Raw genomic sequence first — 12,966 nt, 5'->3', positions numbered from 1 at the left:
GTGGCCAGTCTGTAAGTTGTGAGAAGTCTCTTGGCTGTGGGCCATTACTGTGTATTGTAGGACAGTCTGGGTTGCCAGGCAAGTCTGATTGTTGGAAGGTGTTTGAGTGATATGTGATGTTTCTGGTTATGTGGGGCATGTCTGGGTGCTTTGGGGTAGGTCTAGGTATTTTGGGGGTAAATCCAGCTGTCACAGGAGAACCTGAGTGCTATGAGGCGAGTGTAAGTGTTATAGGGCATGTCTGTTATTTATGTGTTTTTTTCTGTATGTTATCTAACATTTTTATGTGGTCTAAGGTGTGTCTTAATGTTATTGAGGCAAGTAAGTATAGAGTCAGTCTATGTTATTAGGATGGTTTGTGTATTATGGAGCACGCCATGTGGTGTAAGGCAGGGGTCCCTAACCCCTGGGCCACGGACCAGTACCACTCCATGGCCTGCTAGGAACCAGGCCACACAGCAGGAGGCGAGCAGTGAGTGAGCAAGCATTACCACCTGAGCTCTGCCTCCTGTCAGATCAGCTACAGCATTAGATTCTCACAAGAGTGTGAACCCTATTGTGAACCGTGCATGAGAGGGATCAGGGTTGTGCACTCCTTATGAGAATCTAATGCCTGATGATCTGAGGCAGAACAGTTTCATCCCAAAACCACCCCTCCCACCTCACCCCCAGTCCGTGGAAAAACTGTCTTCCACAAAAGTGGTCCCTGGTGCCAAACAGGTTGGGGACTGCTGTAAGGCGTGCTCTGGTGTCACAAGGCATGTATTCTTGTTGTGGTGCATTCTGGAGTTTTGCAGGGCCATTCTGGGTGTTGTGTGGCAAATCTAGGTATTACAGGCACATATCTTAGTGCTGCAGGACTTGGTTGTGTATTTTCCAGCATCTGTGTGTGTTCTTAAGAAACTGTCAGTGTTGTGGAGACAAGCAAACATTTTGGGGGTCTTTGTATGTATTGTGTGGATAGTCTTGTCTAGTTGTTAGGGGACAAATCAGACTATTGCAGGTCAAGTCTGGCTATTGCAACGTAAGTCTGGTGACATGGGGCAATTAGGGTTAGGTGGGGGTAGATCTGGATGTGATGTGTTAGTCTGAGTGTCTCAGGGTAAGTCCCTGGGTTGGTGTGTTGCAGTGAGATTGTGTGTTATGAAGTGACTTTGGGTGTTGTAGGGCATGTCTGTGCATCGTGGGGTTTTACGCATGTTTTGCTCAGCACTTCTGCGTGCTCTCAGCTAAGCGTTGGTGTTATGAAATAAAAAACCTATTTTTCAGGACCAGTCTTTGTTGTCTGGAAATTATATGTATGATGGGACACGTCCATGTATTTTGGGGAAGGCCTGGGTGTCATGGGATAAGTTCAGTTGTCCCCAAAATATACGGACATGTCCGATAATACATACAATGTTGTGATTCTGTGTGGCTTGGAGAAGTTGGCATGTGTTACAGCAAGTCTTAGTATTGTGAATCATATCTGTAATTGTAAGAAGTGTCTGTATTGTCCAGCGATTCTATGCACAGGGAGGTAAGTGTTGGTGTTATGGAGCAAGAAAGTGTTTTGTGGGATTAGTCGTTATGTTGTAGGAAGGATTTGTATATGTAGGGTTATGTCCATATACTGTGGCTCCTATTTGGGTGTTCTGGAGCTAGTCTGGTTTCTGGGGGGTCATTCTAGGTGTGGCATAATGTATCTCTATGTTTCAGATGAGTCTCAGTGTTACAAGACAAGGCTAGTTGAAGTGGGGTATGTCCAGGCCTTGTTGAGTCTATGTGTATTTTTGAGCATTTCTTCTGATTTTAAACTAAGTTTTGAAGAGACAAGGAAGTGTTTTATGGAGACAGTTTGTGTGTTAAAGGTAGAGCCTGTGTAGTTCCATGTGTTGTAAGGCATGTCCATGCATTGTGGTTCTATCCATGCATTGTGGAGCATGTCCATGGGTTGGCAGACTAATCTGGGATATGAGTTTTTTTTTTTTTTTTTGAGACGGAGTCTTGCTCTGTCGCCCAGGCTGGAGGGCAATGGTGCGGTCTTGGCTCACCGCAACCTCCGCCTCCCAGGTTCAAGCGATTCTCCTGCCTCAACCTCCTGAGTACTGGGATTACAGGTGCCCGCCACCATGCCCGGCTAATTTTTGTATTTTTAGTAGAGTCAGGGTTTCACCATGTTGGCCAGGCTGGTCTCAAACTCCTAACCTTGTGATCCGCCTACCTCGGCCTCCCAAAGTGCGGGGATTACAGGCGTGAGCCACCACACCTGGCCTGGGATGTGAGTCTTTAAAATGTAAAATGGATCTGGGTGTTTCCGGGCGAGTCTAGGTCTTGTCCAGGAAGGCTGTGTGTTGCAGAACATATCTGCACATTGTGTTTCTCTGTATGTGGACCATCCTTTGTGGGATGTGCTGCTGTGAGGGAAGTCGTGGCAGGAAGAAGCTATTTTGTGTGGCCAGTCTGTGTGTTAAAAGGAGAGACTGAGGCCAGGCGTGGTGGCTCACGCCTATAATTCCAGCACTTTGGGAGGCCGAGGCAGGTGGATCAGCTGAGGTCAGGAGTTCGAGACCAGCCTGGCCAAAATGAAACCTAGTCTCTACTAAAAATACAAAAATTAGCTGGGCGTGGTGGTGCACACCTGTAGTCCCAGCTACTGGGGATGCTGCAGCAGAAGAATCGCTAGAACCTGGGAGGCAGAGGTCGCAGTGATCTGAGATCATGCCACCGCACTCCAGCCCGGGCAACAGAGTAAGACTCCATCTCAAAGAAAAAAAAAAGGAGTGACTGTTTATCGGGTATTGCTGTGTGTTTTGGGTCACATCTGGGTGATATGGGGTGTGTCGGTGTGTTGTAGAGCAAGTCTGTGTGTTATGGAGTATATATGTGCATTCTGAAATATTTTAATTTGTGTTGTCAAACAAGTTTGTATTTTATGAAGCACATCTTAGTGTTGTATAGGGAAGACAGTATTTTGCTGGACCAGTATTTATGTCACGGGGATAATGTATGTGTTATGGCACATGTCCTGGTTTCTTGTCTGTTAATTGTAGTCAAGTTTATGTGGTGTGATGCTGTTCTGCATATTGGAGAAGTCTATGGCTTGTGGATTGTTTCTAGAGATTTTGAAGTGAGTTCCTTGTGTTGTGGAGCCAATGTGGTGTTCTGGGGTGAGTATGTGTATTGTAGAGCACGTATGTGTATGATAGAGTGCATTTGCTTAAACTGAGATGAGTCTTTTCATGAATGAGTTTCTGTTTGTTGGGTATGTTGTGCATTGTAGCGTGTCTAGCTGTTGTGTGATAAGTCTAGGTGTTATGCAGAAACTCTATATGATAGATGCTTCTAGGCGTTACGGAATAGGTACAGTCAGGCTGGGCGCGGTGGCTCATGCCTGTAATCCCAGCACTTTGGGAGACAGAGATGGGTGGATCACCTGAGGTCAGGAGTTCGAGAACAGCCTGGCCAGCATGGCGAAACCCCATCTCTACTAAAAGTACAAAAATTAGCCGCTTGTGGTGGCGGGCCTGTAATCCCAGCTAGTCGGGAGGCTGAGGCAGGAGAATTGCTTGAACCCAGGATGCGGAGGTTGCAATAAGCCGAGATCACGCCACTGCACTCCAACCTGGGCAACAAGAGCGAGACTCCATCTCAAAAAAAAAAAAAAAAAGAATAGGTGCAGTCAATATGGGATGGGTGTTATAGGAAAAGAGCGGTGAGAGTATTCACTATGATGCAATTCTGTGCTTTATGAGGGATATTCTATGCATTGTGGGTTGATTCGAGTTGTTTTAGATTGAGTCTTACCTTTATGGTCCAATTTCGTGTGGAGTAATGACAACAATGACAACCTGATCAGGTAACACCAATAACGCTGACTCTTTACCAAGCATTGCTCTAAACACTTTATAGGCATTAACTCATTTATTCCTCTTTTTTTTTCTTTGAGACGGAGTTTCGCTCTTGTTGCCCAGGCTGAAGTGCAATGGCATGATCTTGGCTCACCGCAACCTCTGCCTCCCAGGTTCAAGCGATTCTCCTGCCTCGGCCTCCCAAGTAGCTGGGATTACAGGTGTGTGCCACCACACCCGGCTAATTTTGTATTTTTAGTAAAGATGGGGTTTCTCCATGTTGGTCAGGCTGGTCTCGAACTCCCGACCTCAGCTAATCCACCCGTCTCGGCCTCCCAAAGTGCTGGAATTACAGGTGTGACCCACCACGCCCAGCCCATTTATTTCTCTTAACAGCTATAAGAGGTAAGTACCCCTATTACATTATTATTCCTAACAAGTAGCTGAGAAAACTGGGGCACAGAGAGTTCAAGAAACCTTTCCGAGGTCACACAACTAGTAAGTGATGCATGTGGGATTGGAACTCAGACAGTCTGAGACCTGAATATAAGCTTTTAACCATTGTAGAGCAAGTTTTATATCATGTGGGTTGAGACTAGATGAGTTGAGGCTAGTCTTTGTCTTGTGCCAGTCTGGGCGTTGTGTGGTATTAGCATTGTGGGCGTGGGTTTGCTTTGTGGGAGTCTGGGTGTTTTCGTGCAAGTCTGCATGTTATGGGATGAGTGTGTGTGTCTGTTGTGATATGACGCTGTGCAGTTGGGATGGTTTTGTGTTTAGGGGTGATCTCTGCATGTTAGGACTTATCTAGGTATTACAGAGCAAATCTGTGTGGTATGGGGCCTGGTCATACGTGTGGCAGTGTTCGGTAAGTCAGATTTATGGGCAACTTAGGCGATGTGGGGCATGTAGTTCTTTATGGGACAAGCATGAGGTAAGTGTAAAATGCGTTGTGGCCAGGGGCGGTCGCTCACGCCTGTTATCCCAGCACTTTGGGAGCCTGAGGCAGGTGGATCACGGGGTCAGGAGATCAAGACCATCCTGGCCAACATGATGAAACCCTGTCTCTACTAAAAATACAAAAAAATTAGCCAGGCATGGACGCGCCTGTATTCCCAGCTACTCGGGAGGCTGAGGCAGGAGAATTGCTTGAACCTGGGAGGCGGAGGCTGCAGTGAGCCGAGATTGCGCCACTGCACTCCAGCCTGGGCAACAGAGTGAGACACCGTCTCAAAAAAAAAAATGTTGTGGAATGGGGGCTCTGTGTTATCATGTGATGCTGCCAATTTTAGGAGCATGTATTTAGGAACATGTTTGTGAAGAGCAGGGGTATCCACATGTTGTGAAACAAAAATATGTGTGATAGGGTGTGTTTGTATGATGTAGGGCATATCTATGAGGTTAGGATGTGTGTGTGTCTGTGTGTGTGTGTGTGTGTGTGTGTGTGTGTGTGTATGTTGTGGGCCTGTGCCTTGTGGGGTGAGGTTGGGTACAACACACAGCCTGGCTTCCAGTCTGGGTATTGTGGGATGTGTTATAGAGCAAGCCTGTGCACAAATTTGTTACTAGTGATGCAATTCTGTGTGTTGTGAGTGATATCTGGTTAGGGTTCTGGTCTGTAGGGTATGTGGGTACTATGGCGGGGTGTCTGTGTGCTGTCGAGTGTTTCTAGACGTTCTAGGGCTAATCTATATATTATATGGTGAGCCTTCTTGTTGTCAGATGATTCTAGATATCTGGGGTAGGCCTTTTTTGTTTTGGTAGTAATGATAGTGATGGTTGTAATATACATTAACAATTCTAATAGTCACTATGTACCAGGCACTGTACTAAGCACTTAACAAATCTTAACGTATTTATTACTCACAACAACTCTTTGAAGTAGGCACTACTCTTATCTTTGTTTTACAGTTGCACAAACTAAAGAACAAAGAAATATACTTACCCAAGGTGATACAATCAGCAAGGGACGGGACCTTGATTCAAACCCAGTTAGTATGGGTCTAGAGGCCTTGCTGGTAACTATTACACAAGCTGTATTTCTGTTGTTGTAGGCCAGAGTTGTAGCTCAACAGCATGGAAAAGCACGTCTGTCCACCGTGATGGAAATCTTTACATTGTAGGAGTAATATGTGTGTTGTGTGTCTAGCCGACTGGGAAATGTTTATGTGCACTGTCAGTTTTGCACTGTAGAGTAAGTCTGTGTTATGATGCAATTCTGTGCATTGTGGAAGCAATCTATGTGTTTACACGCATCACTGTGAATCATAAGGCACATCTAAGTATGGGGGATGTGATTTAGTATGTTACAGAGTAAGTCTGTGCCCTGAAGGGCTTGTCTGTACATTTAGGGTGAGTCTCAGTGCTCGGTGGTGTTTGTGTGAGTTGTGAGGCAAGTATGTATATTGATAGGTGAATCTGTGCATTTTGGTGAATTTCTGTGCATGGCTTGGCATCTCCTGTTTTGTAGGCAGCAGCTTGAGCAGTGAAAACGGTCTATGTGCTTTGGGGTAAACCTAAGAGTGACATAGCAAATAGTTTCATATATTTTGGGATACATGTTTGCATTGTATAGGCACTATAAGAAGTGTTTTTTGTTGTTGTTTTCTTGTTTGTTTCTTTCTTTCTTTCTTTTTTTTTTAGACGAAGTCTCACTCTGTTGCCCAAGGTGGAGTGCAATGGCATGATCTCGGCTCACTGCAACCTCCACCTCCTGGGTTCAAGTGATTCTCCTGCCTCAGCCTCCCGAGTAGCTGGGACTACAAGCATGTGCCACCATGCCCGGCTAATTTTTTTGTATTTTTAGTAGAGACGGGGTTTCACCATGTTGGACAGGCTGGTCCTGAACCCCTGACCTTGTGATCCGCCCGCCTCGGACTCCCAAAGTGCTGGGATTACAGGCATGAGCCACCCACCTGGCTGTGTTTTTTGTGTGTGAAGTAAATCTGTATGGCAAATGTGTGCCTGACATTTCTGAGCACTGTGGGCTTAGAGTGTTATGCTGTGGGATGTGTTTGTACGCTGTGGGTTGCATCAGTATTGTGGGATGGGTGAGGGTATCCTGGATCACATCTGTGACTGTGCCCAAAAGGGTGGGTCTGAATACCTTAAAGAAAGATTAGGTGTCTCTACAGCCTGAGTGTGTCTGTTGTAGAATAAATCTGTTGTAGAGCCAGTTTTTCCTGCTATGATGCCAAGCTGTACATTGTCAGGTATGTCTATTTATCAGAGTGTGTCTGAGGAGTTTGAGTTGTATTTTGGTGATGCAGGGACACAGCATGCATTGTGTGGTAACTCTGGGGTAAGGTCTAGATATTTTAGGGCAAATGAGTGAACTCTGGAGCAAGTAATTGTTTTTTTTTGTTTGTTTTTGTTGCTGGGTTGTTTTTTTTTTTATTTTTTTATTTTTTTTGAGGCAAAGTTTTGCCCTTGTTGCCCAGGCTGGAGTGCAGTGGCACAATCTTGGCTCACTGCAACCTCCGCCTCTTGGGTTCAAGCGATTCTCCTGCCTCAGCCTCCGGAGCAGCTGAGATTACAGGCATGCACCACCATGCCCGGCTAATTTTGTATTTTTAGTGGAGACGGGGTTTCTCCATGTTGGTGAGACTGGTCTCGAACTCCCAACGTCAGGTGATCCACCTGCCTAGGCCTCCCAAAGTGCTGGGATAACAGGCGTGAGCCACCGCGTCCGGCTGGAGCAAGTATTTGTATTGTGTGGTGAGTGTGTCTTTTGTGACATGAATTTGTGCACTGTAGGACAAGTTTGTGTGCTGTGGCACAATTGTGTGCATCAAGGAGTGATATATGTTGTAAGATGTACCGTTGCATGTCTCTGTGGTGGGGTAAACTTGTCTGAAAGCTATAGGGAGAGTCTCTGTAGTATGGGTTTAGTCTGTGCTTTGCGGGGTGACTCTACGTGCTCTGCAGAGTGTCTGTGTGGTGCTGGGCAAGTCTGTGTCCTGAGGTGATGGTCTGTGGCCTATGGTGCTTGTCTGTACACAATGGGGTGAGTCTGTCTGTTGTGGGAGAGTCTTTGTGTCATGATGCGGGTCTTCAAGCTGTCTCATGAGTCTATTCTCGGGAAAGTCTGTTTCATTGGCAAGAGTCCCTGTGCTCTAGGACGAGTCTATGGTCTGTGGTGAGAGTATGTGATGTCAGGGGTGTCTGTGTGCCCTGGGGAGAGTCTGTTTGCTGTGGGAAGAAGCTGTACACTCTAGAGAAAGTCTGTGTGCTGTGGGGTGAGTCTACTGGCCTTGAGAGTATGTGTGCTTGTCGGGGAAGCCGTGTTCTATGGGGTAAGTCTGTATGCTGTGTGTTTCCTAAAATGGGTTCGTGTGATGTGGGAACAGTGTGTGATGTTGGGATTGTCTGTGTGTCATAGTAGAGTCCTTATGGGGGGGCAAGTCTGTGTCATGCGGGGTGCATCAGTGTGCCTCAGGTGAGTCTCTGCATTAAGCAGTACATACGTGCCTCTGGGAGAGTCTAATGATACGGGGATTGGGGTGTCCATGTGTTCTGGGGAACATCTTTTTGCTGTGGTGCTTGTCGGTGTGCCTTTGGATATGTCTGTGTACTGGAAGGCAAGTGTGTGTACTGTGAGAAGAGTCTAGGTGCTGTGGGGGTAAATGTGTTTGTGTTATCTGGTCAGTGTGTGCATTAAAGGGTGAGTTTGTATACTGCGGACACAAGTCTGCTTCCAGGCAAGTCCCCCTTAGTATCTACAAATAATAATAGACAACACTTACATAATGGTTACTATGTGCCAGACACTGTTCTAAACATGCTGTTAGCATCCCCATTTTACATCTGAGGAAACGAAGAGATTTAAGTAACCCGTCCCACAGTCATGCAACTAGCAAGCAGCCGAGGTCTGAAACCAGGCAGTCTGTTTCCTGTTCTCATACTATTATGATTCCCCTCGGGGCCCTGAGGGCATCGGTGGCCTCAAACCTTAGAAAGCCTTCGTGGTCACTGGTGAGCATATAGAGAGCAGTTAATTTGGGAGGAAAGAAAAGGAGTGGCTAAAAGCCTTCCAAGCTTTATTTAAAAAAAAAAAAATGCTCCATATACAGTAACGATGGCAGTTTAGCTCAGAAAAACTGACGTCATGTCTGCCAAATAACTCCAGCCACTGCGGCCCTCAGGACCCCTCCCCTGGCCCCACAGCCGCATTCTGCTACTGCAGTGGAGCAAATGCGCATGCACTGGCGAGCTGCCATTGCCAGGGAAACCAGCCTCCTCATAAACAAAACACAGTCTAATGCGGCAAGTCAGGAAACTACTGGGACTGAGGCTGTGAGCCAAAGGAGCCCCTTGCAATAACCGCAGGCAAGGCAGCCTCCCACTCACGCGCCATCCTCCCCCCGCCCTTTTTTTTCCCCCCCAGAATCAGTAAAGCTAAGAGGCCCGGTGCAGAAGTCAATAGAGAGAGAAAGCTTCGTTGGGGGCCCGGGAGAGGGTTGGTAATAGGTAGCAAGTGATTTTAATTGTCAGATTTCTCTGGGCAATATTTAACCCATCTCCTACTAAAAAACTCCTTGCCTTATGTCTTGAGCCTTACACCTGCAGTGAAAAGAGGTGGCTCACTGGGGTGTGTCCCTATCTAGAAGAGGTAGTGGCAGTGGTGGCATGGGTTAGGACTCACCCTAGCTCCTTTAAATCCCTACATGAGACTACGGCCAGCAACAGGCTGGCAAACATTATTTACTTCTACTCCTCATACATTTCTTGTATTTCCCTCTTATATCATTCTAGAAAATTCCAAGAACTGAGTCGAGCCAACTTTAACTCTTTGAGTATCTGAAGAGTAAAAAAAAAAAAAAAAAAGAGGTTGAAGGAGGAACTTTAACCCCGGGGGTATTTTTTTTTTTAACACACAATTGGGATATCAGGTGCGCCTAAGAGGAATAGCACACCTGAAACCGTGGTTTCATATATTTGGATTCCTTAATTTTAATTTGCAACAAGAATGTGACAAACTTAACATATTTAAAATGAAAAAAAAAATCCTGTTTAAAATACTGCCCTAATCTGCATGTGCCTAGGATTTTTGAAACGCACAAGCACAAACATGGTGCTCTAGTATGCTGTCAGAAGCTGCAGGAAGGTAGGAGTACCATTGCAAAATGTAACCATCTTGGGTAAAGAGAAAATGGCCGACCTGTGGAAAGCTACACCCTATCTAATGGAAGAACAGTTGTTGCGTTGGATTATTCAATAAGTGATGCTGAAACAATCGGTGACCTATTAGGGGGAAAAAAAATTAAATCCTACTGTATACCATATATCAAAATGAATTCTAGGTGGATTAAGGAGTTAATTGTAAAAAATGAAGCAATTAAATAACTAGAAAAAAATACAGGTGAATACACTAATCAAAGGAAAGAAAAAAATCACAACACTTAAAATGGTCAGATATGGAAATCTAACATGTAAAACTGTAAAATATCAAAAAATCACCACCATAAATGGTAAAAATTAATAGGAAAACAATGGCTGGAAAATAATGTTTATACCACATATAATAAATAAATTAGGTGATAGGTGTTGGGGGGAAGAAACCTTAAATTGTTTCATACCATTTGATCCAGGAATTCCATGTCTACGAATTTTTCCTAGGGAGAAAAAACCAGAAAAGCACACAGATATTTATATGGAAAGATATTCCTTCAGTTATTTATAACAGCAAAAATAATGCACATATAAACATTCAATAATTGGACATTTAGTGGGACATCTATATGATAGAAAATTATACATCCACAAAACACCACATTCTTGTGGAATATTTTAAAATATGGGGAATTGCTCCCAATATATATTTAATGGATCAAACAGGCTAAAAATTGTATGTACATGTGATCTTCATTTTGTATAAAATATATATTTCTATGCATTTATTTGCATATATTCAGAGAAAAGAGACTGACAGTAATAAGATTAATAGTAATTATCTCTAAGTTACGGGATTATGGGTAATTTTTATAATCATCTTTACATTATTCAAAATTTACTACAATGACTATGATATTTTTATAATAAAGGGGAAAACATCATTTTTAATATTTTAGTAAGTGTATAAAAGCACTGGAAGCACAGAGAGGAAGGCGTAGAAGCAAAGACAAAATACCAATATACACCAGTGGAGGATCACGCAAAACGAGCTCATTATGTACTACAGAAAGATTATAGCATTATTTGCATGTCAGTATGTATAGAATGTCTTATACAAGATGGAGTCCTGGCAAATTTTCTTCGCTACACCAGAGAATGGTCACATGTCCCTGGATGCGTCAGTCACTCTCTTTGCCGCAGTGCTCTGTTCAACACCCCCTCCCTTTGCCTCCAGTATGTTCTCTCCCTTTCCCTCTGCAAAACATGCTACCAGCAGACATGTTCAACTTGGGAAAATGGCCCATCTTGAGGACTTTCTTTTAAGCTTTTTCATTCTTATTTTTCCTCCTTGATTGCTGCTGCTTTGTCATCTAACTCAAAAACGAAATCTATTTATCTATCATTTTTCTTTTCCTCACGTTCAAGGGCCAGTTTGAATTTCAAAGGAATAAACCACCACTTCACTTTTTTTTTTCGTTTTTCTTGCAGAAACAGAGCTACAAAAGCTCTGTTTTCAGGAATGTTTCAGAAACAAACATTAAAGCTTCGTTGATAAGAATCTCTGCTATCCATCTCACATCCCTTTTCAAAAAAAGAAGCACCGAGAACACTCTTGTCTTTACTGTATAAATCGCTGTCCAAAAATACAAATTAATTTTTTCCAATGAAAGCACGATCATAATATTCATTATTACTTTTTCATGATTTTTTCATCCTAAAGTCAAATTTTAATGTTTCTCATTGAATACACTTTCATATCTCACATGAAGCAATCAATCTGAACATTATTACAAACTGCCCTCTTCCTCATTTTCTCTCTAGTACAGACATCCCGTCACACGACTTTCTTAATTTAAAAAAATGAGGCATCGTATCCTTTTCTGCATTGCAAAGTAATATTTTTCTTATGCTCTCCCAGCACTGAGAAAATAAACCAGGTTTGAGAACATCTTGAATCATAACCCATTTCATCACGTCAAATACAAATATCGTAAAGCTGAGGTACAATTCTGAAAGCAATTCTCCAATTTAGTAACATCTTCATTAAATCTTATTTTAGGAAATATTTTACAAGAATCACAAGGGGAAAGTTTCTATATTGCCTCCTAGCAACTCCATCATTTAAGAAACAAGCTTTAAACTAGAAAAATGACCAGGGAATATTTAGAATTTAATTAATCCATTTCCCAATGCTGCTGATTAGAATCAGAGATTCCTACACAATTTTGCATTATTCTATTCCCTCAAAACATGTCGCTTGCTTTAAAAATCTTAGTCTGGATATCTATTTTACAAAATATTTCTCAGCTACTTACCAGTGGCATGCTGTCTCCCCACCAGCTCTGAGGCTGTCTGTCGCACTGAAGGAGTGGGGGCAAACAGCAGCGCAACAGCCACTTGGAAATGAGATGTACTCTGAAAAAAAGGGATTATCCCTATGGAAAGAAATGAAATGCCTTGAGATTATCCTCAAAAATTCTCCAAAAACATGAAATCATACTAAACATTATATGCTAAAATGTGCATGCTCTTCAAAGGGCAGATTTTAATAGCTAAACCTCTAATCCAAAACACACTTAAGTTGCCTTGATTTCCAGAGGAACCCCTACAAGACTATGAGCTTTTGGCTCTCCCGTCTCCTAGCAACAGTCTCATTAACTTTTTTTTTTTTCCTGCAGTGGTCCTACTAGGCATCAGAGAACATTGACAAGGTCTAGTCTCTGAGGATGAACATTACCATTTTGTTGTTCAATATGTGTTTTCTCCCAGGCAAGTAATAAGGAAAGTTAGAAATTCAAATAACAAAGTCCCCAGAAGATTTCTGATTCAAATGACATTCCACAATGAAAAGCAGAAAATTTTTTGGTTCCCTCACTTGGTACAATGCTGTCGGTAGAACCCTGTTCTAATATGAATGTGCTCAATGCTACCAAACTGTACAGTTAAAATCAAGTGGAAATTTTTTGTTACATATTTTTCCTACAATAAAAAAGAGAGAAAGAACGATTCATTCACTCCACAAATA

General features: G+C 43.3%; 1 long non-coding RNA gene across 6 annotated transcripts in view; it reads right to left on the bottom strand.

Annotated features, from left to right (window-relative positions):
• Positions 1-12,303, bottom strand: part of LINC00632 (long intergenic non-protein coding RNA 632) — an 81,599-nt gene extending 69,296 nt beyond the window's left edge. For 4 of the 6 annotated variants that reach the window (NR_173144.1, NR_173140.2, NR_173139.1 and 1 more), the window contains exons 1-2: positions 12,257-12,303; positions 10,406-10,441 (exon numbers count right to left, since the gene is read on the bottom strand). This is a non-coding gene — a long non-coding RNA (long intergenic non-protein coding RNA 632). Of the gene's footprint in view, positions 1-7,230; positions 8,546-9,739; positions 10,442-12,256 lie in introns of those variants that run through there. The other 2 variants (NR_028344.1, NR_028345.2) reach the window with 2 other exon arrangements.
• Positions 12,304-12,966: the final 663 nt, after the last annotated feature.

Source organism: Homo sapiens, chromosome X, assembly GCF_000001405.40.
Source record: "Homo sapiens chromosome X, GRCh38.p14 Primary Assembly".
In the NCBI taxonomy this organism is placed as follows: Eukaryota; Metazoa; Chordata; class Mammalia; order Primates; family Hominidae; genus Homo; species Homo sapiens.
This window is presented reverse-complemented; position numbering and strand designations above follow the sequence as displayed.